This window comes from Homo sapiens, chromosome 5, assembly GCF_000001405.40.
Source record: "Homo sapiens chromosome 5, GRCh38.p14 Primary Assembly".
Taxonomy (NCBI): Eukaryota; Metazoa; Chordata; class Mammalia; order Primates; family Hominidae; genus Homo; species Homo sapiens.
In genome coordinates, this window is record NC_000005.10 from 10,692,277 (window position 1) to 10,711,527 (window position 19,251).

The 19,251-nt window shown below is 47.2% G+C and overlaps 1 protein-coding gene across 2 annotated transcripts in view, besides 5 other annotated features; it reads right to left on the reverse strand.

Moving 5' to 3' along the window:
- Nucleotides 1-19,251, reverse strand: part of DAP (death associated protein) — an 82,005-nt gene that overhangs the window by 13,047 nt on the left and 49,707 nt on the right. The gene's annotated exons all lie outside the window — the stretch shown is intronic.
- Nucleotides 3,012-3,071: a silencer, noted in NCBI's record as "silent region_15928". NCBI's record gives its function as "represses an Ori minimal core promoter by ATAC-STARR-seq in GM12878 lymphoblastoid cells {active_cell/tissue: GM12878}" and the evidence as "EXISTENCE:reporter gene assay evidence [ECO:0000049][PMID:35858748]".
- Nucleotides 7,254-8,077: an enhancer, noted in NCBI's record as "H3K4me1 hESC enhancer chr5:10699642-10700465 (GRCh37/hg19 assembly coordinates)". NCBI's record gives its function as "activates a minimal SCP1, AML or CMV promoter by ChIP-STARR-seq in primed H9 embryonic stem cells {active_cell/tissue: H9 hESC(primed)}" and the evidence as "EXISTENCE:reporter gene assay evidence [ECO:0000049][PMID:30033119]".
- Nucleotides 7,254-8,341: a biological region, named in NCBI's record as "H3K4me1 hESC enhancer GRCh37_chr5:10699642-10700465".
- Nucleotides 7,632-8,341: an enhancer, noted in NCBI's record as "active region_22380". NCBI's record gives its function as "activates an Ori minimal core promoter by ATAC-STARR-seq in GM12878 lymphoblastoid cells {active_cell/tissue: GM12878}" and the evidence as "EXISTENCE:reporter gene assay evidence [ECO:0000049][PMID:35858748]".
- Nucleotides 10,611-11,333: an enhancer, noted in NCBI's record as "H3K4me1 hESC enhancer chr5:10702999-10703721 (GRCh37/hg19 assembly coordinates)". NCBI's record gives its function as "activates a minimal SCP1, AML or CMV promoter by ChIP-STARR-seq in primed H9 embryonic stem cells {active_cell/tissue: H9 hESC(primed)}" and the evidence as "EXISTENCE:reporter gene assay evidence [ECO:0000049][PMID:30033119]".

Genomic DNA, 19,251 nt, shown 5'->3' on the forward strand with positions numbered 1-19,251 from the left:
TCATCGTGGTGCTCTGACAGCCTGGTTTCTGCCCCAGTTCTGAGAGGTGTAAAGCGATGCACTCTTGTGAGTTAGAGCTGGACAGGAGGTTCCCTACCAGGCAGACGGCTGCTGCAATCTATACCTTCATCCTTTCGCAGTTGAGAGCTTAAGGGCCTTCAGTGGGGGCCGCCTGGATGTCTCCCAGGTGGGCCGGATTCTGTCTCCCTGCACTTAGTCCAGCGCCCATCCCAAGTCTAACGCTCTTCCACAGGACAGTCCTTTGGTATTTGAAGAAGGCTACCACAAGCCCCCAGAACATCCCTTTCCCAGACTCAAAGGCATGATTTCAAATTCCTTCACTCTCTCAGCTATTCTCCCAACTGCATTCCAGTGCGGTTTCTAGAGTTTTGCCTAGAACTGTACGCGACACCCCACATGTACCTACTCAGTCCCCACAGGACACCGATATTGCAATAATACTTTCCCCTGGGCTACAGAGAGCAGGTCAGCCAGGAAATGAATCCGGGCTCCCCAAAAGGACCGATTGCTAGTAATCTTCAAATAGGACTGCTACTGACAGGCAACTTGTGAACAAAGTAATTTGTATCTGCTGCCCTGCTCCAGCCTGGCTCACCACAGCTAGTTTTGTGGGGTCCTTACCCTTCTTCCCTTAACCCTGGAGAGCTTCTGCACTCTTAGAAAAATGCAGTGCCCTTCTTCACCCCAAAATAGGATTCTGTGCAACAGGGAGGGTCCGATGTGCATCTGACTGGTCAGCCTCTTCCTTCCCAAGCATCCTGGTAGGGATTAGGGTCAGCTTAGTTACCACGAAGGTGAATTCTGGGATGGGGAGAAACATGCACACGCACACACACACACACACACACACACACACGTGCGTAGTAGTAGTGAAACTGGGAATCTGGTCAAATCTCTGATCCCACTGAAAGTAATCAAAATGGCAGCAAAGGCATTACTGGAGAGTTGTACGTAACAGAATCATTTTCATGTTAGTTTTGACCTGGGTTCATGGAAGTCTACTCAAGTTATCCTCTGCAAATGCTGTCTCCTTTTCATGTAAATGTACTCTATCAGCAGGAAGCATGTACACAGAAGGCAGGGACACATGGCCTTTAATAAGCCACTGGTGCTCTATTTTCCCTAAAGGATAGAAATGATCTCAGGTTGATAAAAGCTACTGTTTATCAATCACCACTATGTACTATGGACCAGGTGCTGAGTTAGGCGCTCCCCTTAGAAGTGCTGTATCTAACTCTCTTGGTCCTGTGAGGCAGGAACTGTCCATTTCACAGATTGGAATGGTAAATCAGAAAGGACCAGTCATTTGCCCAAGGGTTGCACAGTAATAAGTGCTGGGAACCAGACTTGGAACGAGGGCTGTATAGTGCATGTAATCTTGGCTCCAAGCCCAGTCCCCTCATTTTAAAGCAGAGTTTTAGCTTGTCTTCTGTATATGATTTAGAGATGCAGAGTTTTAAGGTAAGCAATCTAAATGTAACCTGAGGGTCCTTTATTCAACCAGACAGTACAATATATTCAAATCTACCTAAAGATTTACTTTCTGACTTGATAGTGGATTTTTTTTCCTGAAAAATGATCACTTATGTCTCTAGCATTTAACTAGCATACAAAGCACTTCCACATAAATCATTAGCTCATCTGAGTTCCTTCGGCAGGTGATGTTCTATTTTACGGAGGAAGAAATGGTGCCTCAGAGAGGCTGGAACCTTGCTTGGGGTCCTGGGGGTGGAGCCCGGGAGGAAGCGCAAGGGCTGTGCTCTTCAGTCGGGTCGTCTGAGATCTCCACCATCTCAGACGACTCTGTTCCTCAGTCTCGGGAACAAAATGCAGGGGAGGCTTCAAACCATTTAACAGATTCGAGGCAGCCGACAGGGCCAGAGACGATTCAGAACCACGCAAAGGAGGGACCGTGGCAAATGGACACCATGAGTGTGGGCTAGAGTGTTGGATGATCCGGGTTCAAATCCTGACTCTGCCAGGGACAAGCTGGTGAGCTGGTGGTTGACTTTTCTGAGGCTTAGTTTCCTTGTCTATAAAACTGGACAGCAACAGACCCTACCTTCTTAGGTGACTCTATATATGTGCATACACACACACACACACACACACGCACATACACACAGCAGAAAGCAACAGATTCTAAACAGGGTCGAAACACAGTTTCCAAATTTGCTTCTAGGCTGCCTGGCGGGCTCTGTGCTTTCCTGAGGAGGGTGGGCAAAGAGACTGCTTTTCCAGGGTAATGACCTTGAGAACTGGGCCGCACCTCAAATCAAACCCTCTGTCAGTGCAGAAGAAGAGGCCCTTGGGCCTCACCCACTGTGTGCTGATGAAAGGTAGTCACAGTGTGTGCTTAGCACTTGTGTAACAGAGAGGACACGACACTAGAGCACTGCAGTGGGAGGACAGGGTACCCTCGATCAGCTTCTGCCCATACAAAGTGAATGGGGCTGGGGGCTCTTCTCATGCACTGATGAAGGGGGTGACATAGGTTGTGGCCCAGCACATGCGCTCATTGACCGGGAAAAGCAGTCTCCTCAGGAAAGCACAGAGCCTGCAGGGCAGCCTAGAAGCAAATTCCAAAACTCTTGTTTTGACTCTGCTCAGAATCCATAGCTTTGTGCTTCCAGAGTTTACAGAAAATATATTCCCAGCTGGGGTGACTTTTTAAACATTTCCCAGTAAGTCGATGGAAAACAAATCCGTTCCTGCCATTTTTAGTTCTTGAAATACCTTCTTGGCTTGGTCTTAATTTATTTGGGCTATTAATTTTCTGGACAGCAAAATAATAATTAGCATGGCTGGTGAGCAGAGGGAAACGTCTCACTCGATTGCACCCAGACATTTCTGGATAACATCATTCTTCAGAGTGTGACAGTCGAGGCTGTCTCCCTCCTTCAGCCTGGCTTCAGCACTGACAACATTTCCACAAGATGGCACTGCTGGTCCTCTCAGCCCGCGAACGCTCCGGCCAGCTCAGCCACCTCAAGGAGAAATGGAAGCCGGCCAGGCACTGCGGGCGAGGGCTGCTGGCACCTGGGCACGAGGGTGCCCCTTCTCCCCAGGAGTGGCTAATTGTCACGAGTCTGACCAAAGGCATATAAAACTCAACTTCAGTGTCGTAAACACAATTCTAAACCCGAGAGAAAATAATCTGGAACCTAATTCCTTCTAAATTTGGCATAAGAAATTTATAACATTTTTCAAAAGGGCACAACCAGAGGTGCTTTTCTAGGTGAGAATGCTTGAGCTCATGTTCACATTGGTCTAACAGCACCTTCTTTGCAGTGAGATGCTGTTTTCATACAACTGGAATCAGCCTTCAAATCCTTCAGTGAAGAGGCTGGGACGGCAATCTGCCCCTTCCTCAGAACTACTGCTTCCAGGACACTGTGATTTCAGGACAAAACTTCATCTCAACCTGTTCTTCTGGGTCTGGGCCAGGTCTGGGTCTGTGTGGGAAGGATGCTCTCATTTGGGGGTTCTGAAATATTTCTCTCCAGGTAGCATTCCACCCACAGATATTTGGCTAATTGTTGATCCAGATGTCAAAACTTCACAGAGATTTTTTTTTTTTTTTAGTTAGGAAAGGCTAAACCCCCAAGTTCTGAGTGTGTTGGGTGAATAGGGCTCATCAGTAGATGACGTGTTCCACACTCTGCATGTAGTGTGAAAGCCACAGACTGGGAGTCTGGTTTAAACAGGAGGGAACCTTCATTTTCCCTCTAGACACAGCTCCAGAAAGCTCCTGTGTGCCCAGCACTCTTCCCATTCCAGACCACTTCAGTTTCTGGCGTGTGGATCTTCCCTCCCCCTCCTCCTGCTCTTCCCTATTGTACCCCTTTCCCTGGATGCAAAGAAGGGGAAATAACAACAGGAAGTGTTAATTACCCTTCTCACATCTTATGGATTTAATACGTAGTGATGGTCCTGGGCCACTGAGAGTCTCAAAATTCATCACATATACAGAAGCGACCACATCTGAGGGGCACAGCCCAGGCACCACTTCCTGAAAGTGAGCCAGGGAATAGGGGGTGTGGCGGGGGGGAGGCTTCAGCCTGGTGTAGAAATCCCAGACATTCTGCTGCCATCTCCACAGGAGTCATAGGCGATTCAGAACCACAGACAAAAGCAGTGTCATGGCACGTTTGAGGGCTTGGGCTTAGGAAATAGATGGTTCTGGGGTTGAATCTCAGTTCAGATGAGCAGCCTCTCAAAGCCTCAGTGTCCATCTGTAAGATGGGAATGATTCCTACTTTGTAGAATAGGGAGTTTAAAGAAAATAATGTATTCACTGTGCTTGGAATAGGCCTCCACTGACAAGCTCATGTTTAGTGGCAATAAGTAATGAATTAGTTTCCTATGTAAAGACAGTCTAGAAATTGCTTTTTGTCTTCTAAAGCATAACACTTCCTTTCTCTCTCTCTCATTTCTTTCAAGACTGGGGAATTTCAGAGTTTCTCAGGGCTTCTTTGAAGAATGCCAGCGGGCCCACCTTGAGTTTCCTCACTCCTTTGTTCTAAGCATTGCGCTGTGCCATGGCGCAGGGTTTCAGGGCATTACTATGAGAAAAGGTTCCCCCAGCACCAAAGAGTGGGAATCCCTGTCCACCTCCACTGCCAGCAGCCTGAACAATTCAAACAGTATAAAGCAGCAAAAATGACTGCTTCCTTTCCTTAATGAAATGTTCCAGAGAAGGTAACTTTTAGGAAGAATGTAGGTTATCATTAAGGGCAAGGGGCAAACTTAAAAAAAAGGGTGCATGTTTAACTACATGGCAATGTGGAACATACTGGGGGGAAGCCCGCCTAGGCTTAGCTCTAAAGCTACATTGTTGGGAGACCTTGGCTGTAGGTGGGCCATCTCTAAAGACGCTAGATCAGGCATTGGACATAGTCCTTTGCAGTATTCAGAAAGGCTCCTGGCACTGCCCTAGGAAGTGCCTGCTCACCGTGCTTTATTACATGGTTAGCTCGTTACAAGACAGATGCGCGGCTGTCCAGCAGGGCCTGAGGACAATTGGTATGATTATTAGTCTGTATAACGATCATCTATGTATTAAAAACTTTACATGTTGCTTGATTTCAGTATGTAACATTTACCCTAAAAACCGTTCCATCTTTGATTCTGAACACGTCCACGCTTTAGAGTCACTCTTTGGAATTTCAATTATGGGGAGGTGCTGGTGACTGCTTAATGCTGATTAGACAGGTGCTTTAAAAATCACTCTATTTATTGTCTATATTTTGAAATGCAATCTTCAGGCTCAAGGGTCATGTTATAAATGGTTTAATTTTTGGGAGGTGGGTGTCCATGGTTCAAAGTACAAAGTATTTTAAATAGGATAAAACTATGGTGGCTCTAAAAAGGAAAATGATCATGTAGGTAGAAAAAAATCCAACAAGACAACTGTCATTGGAATTCCTATTAGAAAGAAGTACACATTAATCCAATACAGACACCAAAAAACTCATCTGGTCTGAGTCTACTTCCATCTCCGGAAGCACAGGTGGCTGACCTTAAATGGGACCAGCTGTCACTAGGATGTTTTTGTGTCGAACCCAGCAACAGAATTAGAGAGATGCCAGAGTTAACTTGCACTGAGGATACTTTCCAGCCAGGTGTCTGGCTGGAAAGTCACAGAGCTACGCATCTAGCAAGAATCAAAGCCTGGCCTGTGAGAACCACGCACAGTGTGGACTCAGGTCAGGGACACTGCATGATGGACAAGGGCTTTCTGAATTCCTGAATTCACCAGGAATTATGTCCTTAGTCCACCTTTCCCACACACAGCAAGGGAGGGAGTTGGTGAGCTGAGAGCACAGCTACTCACCAGCCAGCCAGGCTGATGCAGTAAGTGTCCTCAGTGGTCTCTGGATCTGCAAATTCAACTGCTACCTGACTGGAAATGCTAGCTCTGGGGACCCTCCTAAGGCCCTTCCTCAGATCATACCAAGCACTTGGGCCTTTTCCAGACTTAGCAAAAAAAAAAAAAAAAAAAAAAAAAGAGAGCAAGGTCAAGTAGACAGAAAACTAAACTCACAACCAATTCTGCTTACTTTCCAAAACCAGCTAGTGAGTTGGGATAACTTACGTTCAACCCAACAACCCTACCTTCACCCACGTTTATAGCAAACACCGCCGAGTATTAGAATACAATGGGAGCGCAGCAGGGCAGGCTGTGGTATAGACCAGCATCAAAGGCCCCTAAAGTTTGGGTTTCGAGAAATGCACTGTGAGCCACTAATTAAAGTCTTCACTCACTCCCTGATATTGACTATTCATGATGCCCTGATCTCTAGTGACTGGGTCTCTCCTGGGTAAATTAATATTCAGGGCCCTAAGGTTTATTGTGGTTTATTTATTAGTTGGTTTCATTCATTTATTCACACACATACTATACATATATATGTAGAGTGTCATTCTATCTATCAATCATCCATCTATCTGTCAACAAAAGTTCTCTGAAAAAGGAATTTGGAGGAAAGAGACTTTATTCCAGTGAACAGTTTGCAAACCAGGGAGACACAGCCTCCAATATAAAATGAAGGTATGTTCCAAAGAACAAAGGAAGACTTGGGTTTTAGAGCAAAAGTTCCCACCCAGGTTCCCAATCAGGTCTGTTTATTCAAATTAAAAAAAATGAAATTTGCTTAGTTCTGATTGGCTGATACGGCTGAGTACTGGTTGGTTGGTTCAGGTGAGCTCTAAAAGTCCCAAAGATAAAAAGGTGCAGGTTTGGGGGGGATCTCAGCATACCTGTATGACCCCTAGTCGGCAAATGGCCACTTGGCTCTATTTCAAATCTGGACCCAGTGAGCCACTAAGGATCTATATTGGAAGACTGGCCCTTCCAGGTTCACATTTGTTCACATCTACCTACCTACCTACCTACCTACTTACCTATCTGTCTGTCTGTCTACGGTGTTTATAAGTATCAAGCATGCCTGAAAATAAGGAAGCATTTGCACAATCTCTGGAGCATCTCCTACTTTTTCCTGCCTGTCCAGTTGCTGGAGGGACATAGGAGCTTGTCTCCGCTTCTTATCACTGTCATCTTCTTCCTCCTCTCCACTAACAGGCATTTGGTGTTCACACACTGTATAGGACGCTGGGTTAGGGACTGAGGTGAAGACTGGTCCCAGAGGGCTCCCTAAATAGCAAGAGGCCAACAGGCCACACCTGTGAGGTTTACCAGAAGCTAATGCGAAAGCAGGTCACCATGGGTTTCTGGAAAAGTGGGCTGTCTCTATTTTGATGTGGCCGGTCTCTGTGGCAACCCCATGAAAACTAAGAATGTCCTTATTGACAGGAAGGACTTCCACAAGACTGATCCTCCATCAGGGATGAGAATTCCCCCAGAGCTATTCCTGAGGACATGCAGGGAACCACAGAATCTCTGTGAACTTGGTGAATGAGCCTTTCCAGAGAGGAATGAAAGGGCAGGGGCAGGAAGCAAGGGGAATTCCAGAGTGTGCTGCACTAGGCCCCAGGCCCACGGCTCTCACTCCTTCCTGCTTCTCCCAAAGGTTCCCTGGGGTGTCCCCTGCCTTGAGGGAGCTTCCTTTGCTTTCCATGAGGACAGCCAGATAATATGCTTTACCACCAGCAAATCTCACCAGTGAAGATATCTATGTGCCCTGTTATTCACAAAGTGAGGAGGCAGATGCTGGATGATGGACAGAGCAAGCTGCGACCCTGAGGGCCCCTCTCCGAGCTGAGATGCACCTGGAGGGCACAACCTCGAGCATGAAGAGGGTAACCAGAATGGGGCCCTGGGTGGGCCCCTCCGCGGGCAGGATGTGACATACTTCTAGGGAGCATTAGGGCTCAATGGAAACTTTCCACTAAGACGTCAGAGGGGAATTGATGTGTAGTGTATAATCCTCACTTTGAGGCGCTATGTACACGTAGACATCTACATGAGAGCCTTCCTTCTTCCACATGGCTGGGCAGATAAGTCCACCCACCTGACTTCTGAGGCCCACTGAGAAGTGACAGAAAGTGCAAGAACAACACAGGTGCATTTCAGGAGAACTGCCACCACCATCTCTAAGGACAGCTGCAAGCCACCCTGCAAATGTTAATGAATTAGAATGCAAACTAAGGTTGGGGCCAAAGGAGGAACTGGAGGCTCTTTATTCTCCTTTTCACATCTGCTGGGACCTGTAGGAAGGGGAGTCGTTAGGGATGGGAGAAGGGAAGGAAATTTTCAGCTGAGGCACAGGTTCTGGTGGGGAGTTCTCACTGGCACTGTTGCGCCCCAGGGGCAGCGTGGATGTGTGGGGCATGGTAGTCAGCGTGCATGGATCTGTGCTCACCACCACTGTGCCTGGGCGCTTCCATCAGGTAAATATTCACTGAGCAACCACCCAGTGCCTGCCCAGTGCTGGGTGCTGGAGACCCAGGAGCCACCACCCAGATGGGGCCGGCCTTGCTGCGGCAAGAGGGTGCTGGGCTCTCTGCAGCATTATAGGACTCAAGGCTGACTTGACCTGCTTTGCAAACTAACCCAGGGCCCTTGTTTCTCTGGGTCACGTGCTATAGGTAAGATGGCCCTACTGTTTTACATTCTGTTATCTCAAACCAGAATACATTGGCTGACCAGCACAAGGCAGAATGTGTGAAAACAGAACTTTCCCAGAAAATCTGGGCCATGGGGCCCCTGCTCTGAATAGACGGGTGTGAAATGCCTGTGTCTGTGCTGTTCCATGCATCTGATGAACAAGCTGTCACCTTAGAAACCAGAGGGAAGAAGCCCACAGAGAGGTGAACACCCAGGAGGCAAACCATGGCATCTGGCTGGGGCATCCGGGTACTTGGTCAAGACCTGAAGCAACCATTGGCTATGAGGGCTTATTTCCCAAGGAAACAAAAAACGCAGTGTTTAAAGTGAGATACATGCATAAAGCACCCAGAGAAGTCATCTGCCTCTGTGTTGCTTGTTTAATAAAGGCAGGTGAAGATGGAACAGGAGCACTAACTCACAACACCGATTTAAAAGAAGTCAGCTGTATCATGGAGAACGCAAGTCAAAGAGGAGTTCTTTTCAAGCTCAAGATGCAATCTGCTGCTTTTCCTCAGCATTTGCCTCAATAAGGAACCAATTTGAATATTTTTAAACCCAGCATCTTTATGGTTCAGTAACGGGGCTGAGAGCCCTAAAATGGTTTTCAAGGATGTAAGTACAAACATACTGTGCATTGTAGTTTCCAATAATGATTGCAATGTCAGATGACATTGTATTTGTCTTCTATCAGTTTCTTAAAATAAATAAATAAATAAAAAGGTTGAGGGGGACGGGGGGCGGGGGGGCAGTGGGTGGTGCAACCAATCCCCTGCCATCTCGTCTCTGACCAGTAGAGGGAGAATGAACTTCATTCAGGGCAGCAAATTAGGCCTCAAGTTATCCCTAGGATGATGGTTATGTCCCTGATTCCCTGGGACGGTCTGGGTTCAGGCATTGGTCCTGGTGTTATTACTAGCAGTGCTTTCTTTCACTCTCAAAGCATGTCAGACTAAATATGCTGCATGGTCACTCCAAGCTGAGACACAGAATTCTGGTATGATCCTCAACTTTTCCGGGACACTTAAGTTTCATTTTTCATGGAAGAAATGCTCGGATTGCCTGTGCTTGGTTCCACCTTGATACTTGAGCCAGCTGATAAACAGCAACTTCAAGGCTGGCTCATGTTCTCTTTCCATCACTTTCCTTCCCCTCCAAGGGCAGGACTTATACTTTCCCAGCTGTGTTGCCATAAGAACTTCCCAACATGGCTTTAGGCTTATCACAACACAGCTTTAGGCTTCTGCACGCATGGCTCCCCTTCAAGGTCAAGGACCATGGTGGAATTTGTTGTGTGCCCAGCGCCTGGCACATGGTCTGGTGCGCACACATACTCAACAAATGCTTTGAGCACCAAATGACATCACCGGTCAGCGACCCTCAGCTTAGCACAAGTTTGTGGTCGTGGCCAGGCAGTGAATGAACCAGGGTGCTTAGCTGGAACTGTTTGTTGCTCATTTCTTAGGAATGAGTAACTCTCATGCCCTGCCCGCCTCAAAGGCTTGCAAAAGAGGCAAAAGAGCGATTAGAGATAGTGGATTTATTTTTGTGACCCGACAATCTGGCTGAGCTGGATCTGCTGGCCATGGGTTGATATCTGGAGTCCCCAAGCAAATGGGCCCTTCCTCCAGCTTTTGCCAGACTGACCTGGAAGATTGGCTTTTCTCCCTCTTTAGAGGGAGCTCAGGCTAACAGGTACTTCTTCAGATCTTTTCAAGGCAAACTTGAGAATGGTGATAGAGCCATGAGCTGAAGCTTAAATGATAAGCACAATTAGCTAGAGGCGGTAAGGAAAAGAGGGATGGGGTGTTATCAATGACCACATTCACGAGCCTGAATTAACGAATTCAACAGGAAAAACTCCATCTACCTTCTTTATGGCAACTCCTGGCAGCTGCCAACAACAGCTGGATGGCTTTGCAGGACTCTTGCCTAAACCAGAGAAAGACTAAGCATCAAAGGTAGCTCATCTTGTTAAGAAAGCATGTCTTTTTAATAAAGTGCGATGTCACTCATGACCAAAAAAACCCTTGCAAAAGGGACAGTAACATGCAGACAGATGTGCACCCTTACCCTGAGCATAAACGATCTGGCATGCCTTGCCTCCTCAGCCAGAGTCTCAAATGCCTGAAGAATCTGGGTCTTAAGTTTTCAACTTTCGTCTCCTTACCTAAGGCTACTCCACAATTTCTGGGTTTAGTCATCTGCAAGTGAATGCTGGGAAACAGCCTGTTTCTGTTGATTCCCCTTATCACCAAGCACCTAGGAGCAGGGCTCTGTGAGGAATGACTCACTCTGGGCAGTAGGACACATCTTACAAAGCAGGGGTGCTCCCAAAATAGGGAGCTTACTTGTTGGGACACAGTAAGATGTTTTTCCCTTTAGAAACAATATGAATGATGCTTAGGTTCCTAAACTGTCTCAGAAGACACGTAATCCAAGTGTAGGCTGTGAAATGCTAGTGTGCTGAGTTGGGGCTGAGAGCTGGGCCTGGCTGGCTGTGGGCTTCTACAGAGTAGTTGCAGCCCTGTGCACAGGCAGGGGGGGTGTCACCGACTCGCATGTGGGCAGGTCTTTGCTGCGCATCAGGTGCTTTAAGCTTCGGAACAACTGTGCAGGATTCTATTTTAGTATTCTGGAAGCATCATTGAGGAAGTAGTCCAGTGAAGTTAGCTCTAAAAAAACTCTTTACTCTAACAATTAAAAGAAATATGCCAAAGGATCCATAAGGGATGAATAAATTATTAAACTATTAAGAAGTTGCTATAAATATGCAGTGTTAATTCAATAATTCATAACGGACTGGTACAACAAGATTTTTTAAGGCTCATAAAATACTGCTGGCTTTGGCAGTAGCTAGTGTCCTGGGGCTCATGCCAATTGCTTCTTTACACAGCAGCCTGGGTGTGGGGGGCACAGGGAGCCTTCCCCTGGCTGGCTGCCCAAGGACTCCAGGTAGAGGACAGCGCAGGGCGTGGCTGTGGGGATGTGCCTTCACTGCCTCTCCAGCCTTGCTGGGGGCCAGGCACTGGCTTGTCTCTATGGCTTCACAAAAAATACAGCAGCGGTGAAGAGGGGGAGAATTCACAGCACCATGCTGTGGCAGAAAGCAGCATCCCGAGGGCTGGGCAACCTCTTGCCTGAACCTGGGAACAGGGCGTCCTGCCTGTCAAATACCAGCCAGCCTGGTGACCTTCATCTCCACAGGTGCCTTTGTACCCCAGAGTTTCCTTTATAGTCCCTGATCTCTTTTACCTGGAGCCCTTGGGGCTACATAGGTTTCAGAATTCAGGATTTTTCAAGTTTTATAAAGGCAATATGTTATAAAAATCATATATAGTGAACAGTTCTGGAGGGGCTTGGGCAGCACCCCATATTCAAACCCATTAATTTTTCTACAGCAAAATGTATGGATATTACACTAAGTAGGATTTAGGGACCATAAATATCCTCACATCAGCTCAATTTTTGCCACCATGAGTTTCAGTGTGAAAACATAAAGCCCTCTGCAGTTTTCTGAGTGCTCTGGAATGTGTATTTGCCTTGGAGACATGGGCACTTTCCGCTCACCACTTCCTATGTGTCTCTGTGCTGTCGCCCAGTCTGCTGCCAAGAAAGGGAAATGGATTAGAAACAGGTAAGACGGTAAAACTGTCAGGAGGTAAAAAGATTACTCCTGGATTACATGGAGATGCCATGGTCAGCTCTATACACTTATCTGTATAGAGTAAAATTGGATTCATTCAATTAAGTGAAACCCTTGGCAAAGCAGAATAGAACAAATGTAATCAGGGAATTTTCCCCAAATTGTATCTTGGTCTTTTCTGGGTTAATAGAACTGAGCACCAACACCTGTCTTCTGTTTGTGTGGCCTTTCACTGATTCTAGAGCCCGTTGCCTGTGATCCCTCAGTCTTTCCTGCGCAGTGTACAGGGCCAGGAGCCCACAAGCATCACTGACCTCCTTTTCATACAGGTGAGAAAGCAGCTTAGAGGTAGACAGTCCCTGTGGTCGAGGGAATGGGAGGAAGTGGAGCCAGGACAAGCACGTGGGTCCTCAAACTTTCTGGCTAGCTCTGGTCTTCCTACACCTGTCGGATGCACAACCTCAGAATTGTGGCCCAAAATACATTCTGCCTGGCTCTCATCCTGCAATGCAATTTGAGTAGCCTGTGGTCAACTAAATTCTGGAAACACTACTTCCTGTATCCTCCTCTGAGAGACTGAAATGCCCCTTAGTGTAATGGGGCTCTGAGTCATCTTAAGGAAACCAGATTAACTTCCTTTCACCCATTTCCTGATGCGTTTGAATCAGGAAGCCTTTTGGGCAGAACTTCCATTAGCATCAGCCCACCGCGGCCCACACTACACACGGTCGTGACACATGTATTAAAGGCTGAGTTGCAATTGTGTTCCATATTTTATGTAGAGGTGAAGGTGGTTTACACATTTTGGAAAGAGTTTTACCTCGGAGGCTAAATAGGGGTCACAGTGATCTAGTGGGAGGCCCAGGCTAGGGAATCCATTTCTCCATCCTCCTTTTCTCCACCACTGGGTCACGTGCTGTTTGGTCACTGGAAGGACAAGTCTGTGTGGCAGAAGCCTGGGCTCTCTCCACTGCTGTGTGAGAACAAGGCTGTGCATTTGGCCCCAGCCTTTCAGCTGCCTTGTCATTTGTGATGAAACAGAAGCAGTTCCATGCAGGGCCACATGCCCTCATGGTGTGTACTATCTGGGCGAAACCTGTCAGACAACGGGCATTTTTCATAGAGAAAGGAGAACTCAACTTTGGTCTAAGATGCTCTCTGCCCTCCTGCAGTTTTCCTTTCCTACTCAGTATCATCTTTCATGGGGAGAGAAGCAGATTTAAATGTAAGGTGCAGTCATACCTTTGAGTGCTGATTTTCTTTTGTTATGATTTGATATACCTATGTGTTGAAAAATTCCACAAATTATGAAATCCTTGGTTAGGTGGGTATGCTGGACCAGGTGTGCTTGGTGAGACATTAGTTCCATGAGCCATAAAAAAAGTGACATTCCTTTGGGGATTTACTGCCCCTGAATCATGTGAGAGCCCCAGAAACAAAGCATTTCTCAAATATGCATCATTTTAGGTAGATGAGAAAGAAGCCACAGTCACCTCCGCCCTCTGGACTGCAGAGAGCTTAGCTCACATCGGCATTTGCATCCAACAGCACAACATGGAAAGCAGTACACAACAAGAACAGGCAGAAGTGTCTTCATAAACACATTTTGCCTAAATATTCTGTATTAACCACAGCCATCCACTTACAGGGTGTTAGGATAACTTTTAGTTCTAGGTGCTTGACTATAAAATGATGGCGATACATCAACTACTAATGAACATACTACTAATAATAGCTAGTATTTCTTTCTGACTCTGGGCCCAGAACTATTCTATGTACTGGAGACACATTAACTCATGTAATCTTCACAACAGTCAGCTTAGGTAATATTATTAATAATCACAGTTTACAGATAAGGACACATGCACAGAGAGGTTGAATAACCTGCCTAAGGCTACACAGTGAGTAAGAGGAGAAGCTAGGAACCAAACTCACAAGTGTGACACCGAAGCCTGGGCTCCTAACTGCAGCTGATGCTTTCAAATCCAAACCTCAAATGCATTAATGCCTTATATGGCTTGGGCACAATCTTGAGAATTTATTCAAATGTTACCTGGTTTGTCAGAAAATCGGACAGAGATGGACTTGTTAAGACAAACTCACTTTACTAATCAGTGACGAGGCAGTTGAGAAACATTTTACCTGGAAGAATTTCTTGTCTCTTGTTTATGAGACAAAAATGATGATCGGATTTGATAAAGACACACTTTTACTAACCTAGAAACAGTATCCAAATTTAATACATTAAATTGTACCTAATGAAGAGGCCAACAGATGTGTGCACCTGATCCTATGCTGTAGGTGGGAGCACTGCCCTCGAGAAAAGGGCTCAGCATTCCAGAAAAGCCCAGAAAAACCCGATGCACACGGCATGCTTCAGGTCCATCTTCATGAACAACACGAACATCCTGTGTCCTCCCCTAATTAGGTAACCTGGTCACGCGCTTCCTCCTTTCTTGATCTGAATTCCCACAACTATAAGAGGGAAGGATGGCAGGCTAAGTTCAAAACCCACATGGAGAAGTCAGAGGGGACTGGCCTTAAAAAAAGCCATGGGTCTGTCCCCAAGTCAGTCGGCCAGTTTGCAACGTCTGAGGTGGCTGGGGCTCAATGTCAAATGAATAATGAAAACTCAACTGGGCATTTACATTTAAGCCAAGTGCTATGAAGGGGAAGGCCAAGGTGCTAAAGGAGCACACAGCAGGGGTTTAAACTGGTTTGGAGGGCCAGTGAGATTTCAGCTGATATCTGAAAGGTGTAGCTTAGTCAGCTGAGCAAGTGTTGAGAGGCAGACATGTGGGTGGGTTCGGGAATGGGAGAACTGCCCAAGGGTGCATTCTGCCTTTTCTCAACAGCAGCACAAACTTGAGTAATTTAAAGATTCATATTCAAAACCCCGTAACAATGTGGCCCCAGCACTGAGCTGAGGGCAGGAGAGCTGGTGGTGTGATGCACGGGTGATGTGGTGCATAAACTATGTGGTGCACAGGCAGTGTGATGCATAGGTGGTGTGATGCATGGGTGCTGTGATGCAGGGGTGGTGTGATTTGCGATCAGTGTGGTGCACAGGCAGTGTGATGTGATTTGTGAGCAGTGTGGTGCACAGGCGGCGTGATGTACAGGTGGTGTGATGCACGGGTGGTGTGATTTGCGATCAGTGTGGTGCACAGGCGGCGTGATGTACAGGTGGTGTGATGCATGGGTGGTGTGGTGTGTGGGTGGTATGGCACACAGGTGGCGTGGCATAGGAATCATGTGATGCACAGGTGCTATGGTGCAAAGATGGTGTGATGGATGGGTGGCACTGGATGAGTACTGGCTCTGCTCATCATCCAGTTCTCTTTTAGATTAAATTCTCCATGAATCACATTAATTTGGTGCCTCACCCCATGCTGTCGCTACCTCCAAGTGGCTCTAATTCTTATTTAGGCTTGAAATTCTTAAGAGTTGGATGCTACACTGAAGAGCTGAATCATCCTTTAATATTAAGTACAAAGGAATTTCACGGGCAATACAAACTTGAGCATTGTTACAACTCCAGGCAGATATACCAACAGGCAGATTATAAAGGGCATATGCTGTCAGAGCAGAGAAATAACTTGGGAGAATATAAACTGAAATGACCACTTTGAGGAGGAAAATTTTTAAACCAAATTATTAATTCTTCTCTACTCTGGAATTGCTTAAAAGATTTTCTATCAAATGGCTTTCCTACATTTTCAGTATGACCCACAATAAAAACCTGGATCATTTTACATTGTGATGCAGTGGGCACAAGTGCACACACACACATAGAGACACACAGACACAGACACACACATATACACACACAGATACACACAGACGCACATACACACATGCACAGACATACATACACACACACATGCAGACACATACACGCACACAGGCATACACATATACACATATCAGACACACACACACACACACACACGCACATATCTCCCTAAACAAACAATTCTGCCCCTTGTATCCTGGGATGCACTAATCCCATGTAATATGGGATCTGTATGGTCCCATCCCTGCTGATCTCCATCCACTCAACTGACTTCATGACCCACCAACGGGCTATAGCGTACAGTGTGAAAAGCACAGCGACTCTGAAACCATGTTATTAATGATAACAGTTTCCACACTTCCACTTTTCTTTGTCATCGTAAGCAATGGGGGAAAGTCCTTGTGCGGTTGTGCAGGTGGACTCCTACACTGCAGGCCCATATAGGAATGCGTTTGGGGTCAACAGATAAGGCTCTGGATGCTGTGAAATGTTCTCAGCACCTCTAACTAGGGTGCAGGAGCACAGGAGCACAGCTGTGCCTGTTGTTGGGTGAGTGATTTTTCTGACAGAGTAAAACCTTATTTCGTTGGATTTCACTAATTTGAAGTTCATGTTCATTGGGTCAAAGGTTATAGGCAACATAAACAAGATAGTAGAAAGAATATTAAAATCAAAAGACCCTCAATCTACAAATAATTGATACGTTCATTACAAGTAATCCTCCTTTGTGCTTTCAGTCACATCTCCTCTACGAGGAATTCACCTGGCACCTCTGGAATAGACAAGCATGTGCCATGGCTTGATCATGAAAGTACCACCATATTTCTTTGTATTTAATAATCTGGATTTTTAAAAAGCACATCTGACTACCATTCACTATAATTAACACAAATAGCTGAAGTTCTACTGTATGAGGTATGCATTATAAATGTTTTTAGGTTTGCTATTCAGGACGTGTACATGCATTCCTATAAAAACCCAGGTGAGTTACTGGGGAAAGAAGATGAATAAAAGTCCGACTATGCGATGCTGCAGCCGTGGAGCTCACACAGTGTGACTACTGCATGGTGTGGTGTGCCAGACCCAAACGCAGGACACTCCCAGAGTAACGAGGTAGGTAAGGGAGCCCAGTACATCAATCCCACCACTGGGGAGAGCTTGGAAAGGATTTTCAATTCCAACCTCATTGCTTGGGTGTGTTCAAAACATCCCACTGCACTGCCCAGAGGGTTGCCTCGTGGTCAGATGGGTTTGGCAAATGGTTAAACAGGGCTGTGTGGCTTTCTCCGAGGCATGGTCTCCAGGCCAGGTCACAAGCTAAGGTGCATAATGAATTTCCAGGAGAGAATCCTAGAGGCTGCTTGCCTCTGACCACATGACAGGAAGCCAAGGAGCAGGCTTGGAACTCTGCTGCACAGCAGGGCTCCCACCCTCCACAAGGGCATTGAAAATGCGGGCAATGGACCAGAGGCTGACAGTTACCCACCTGGAACATGTCCCAGGGAATACCCCCAAAGGGAAGAGTGCTGGGCACTGCAGCCCTTCTTGTATTCTTTAGGGCAATGATGTCCTGGGACCCAGGGCATCGGTATGGATTCACCTGGGACTGGTCAGAATGCACATTTCTATATACTACATAAGCCTTCCTCAAACACAGAGGCCCAGCGATCTGTGTGTAACCAGCCCCAGGTGATGCTGGCGCTGCTCGAGGCTGATTGCCAGGCTCTGTGATGAGGGAGAAGTGCCCACATAAAGGGGCTGCCTGGGAGTTTCCGTCACCTCCACCTTCAGAAACAAAACAGGGAAAAATCACTTCCTCAGCAAACGACCCCTCCCCTTCCCTCGGCTACAAAACAATCCAGCCCCGAAGCCTCAGGGAGAGGTGGCTAGGGCCCTTCTGAGGGCCTGCTTTTGGCCAGGGGCCATAAGGAAGCCTTCACAGCCTCAATCACACCAAATCCCCTGAAAAGTCCTGTAAACGGATATCACAGGCCCATCTCCAAGATGAGAAGCTGAGGCTCAGGGAGTTGCAGTTATCTGACCCAAGCCACAGAATGGCCCTGGCAGAGGCAGGTTTAGCTCCTGTTCTCTGTGTTCACCCCACTGCACTGAGAGGCCTCCTGGGAAACGTGTCCACAGCCCCAATACGGACAGAACCATGAGGGGGCCACAGAAGCCTTTCATGGGGCTTAGAGGCCACAGAGCGCTCTGAGTGAGGTCAGGAGGCCTCTGGCATCGGGCCTGGAAGTGTGGTGGGATGATGGGTGTGCTCTGGAGGGTGCAGAGGAAGGCACGAGGGTCCACACCAATGGACGGGCTGGTGGGAAGCACAGAGCCTGGGAGGGTGGCTGGAGAAGGTGCCCTGAAGGCAGGACGTGCCTTGACTTCTGCGGGTGACAGGGCAAGCAGGCTGGGAGTGTCCTTCAGCCCTGCACCTGTGCCTGAGTCCCAATCACCGGGTGTTAAGGGACACTGTGGAGTCAGTGAGAAGCAGGTATGAAAGGGAGGGGCAAATGGAATTGTCTGGGACAACTGAAGGTATCTCAGGCATCTGCATCAAGCTGCCCAGTTAGCAATACCAAGCTGAGCCAGGGGAAGTGGTGAGGGCTGAGGGGTTGTCCGCAGAGGCACGGTGTGAGAAACTGTGGCTGAAATGAATTTACCCTGGAGTGTGTTGTGTGAGGACAGAAGAGACAAAGAGAAAAGGCAGTGCAGCTAATAAATAACAACTGAGGTCTTTAATTAAACATCAGTGAATCTAAGACTTGAACTCTTGAAACATCTGAAGTTGTCAACGTGAAATAAATATGGCCATGGGGTCCACACTCCCATGTTTTGAAATGAGGGGAGAGAAAAGGGTTTTGCTCTGCTGTACACAGCAAGGGGAAGGTAGGTGTGAGCAGACCTCGGGATCAGCAGGGCCAAGAGCAGCGCATGGCTCCCAGTTGGTGGCTGAAGTCCGCTCACCCGGGGTGGCCTGGGGCTTTTACCTTCATCAGAATTTCATTTGAACTTTGCCCTGATGCCAGGCGATCCATGTCTGCATCCACCCTCTATGAAGGCCAGCCTCAGACAGGGTGGGACTGGAGACAAAGGTGGTCTCACCGGGGCGTAACTGCCCTGGTTTGAGGAAGGAGCAGTGTTTACAGGATTCTCCTAATGACTGCCCCCACACTGGTCCTCTGAGGACACACGTGCACCTACCTCCAGCGTTTATGC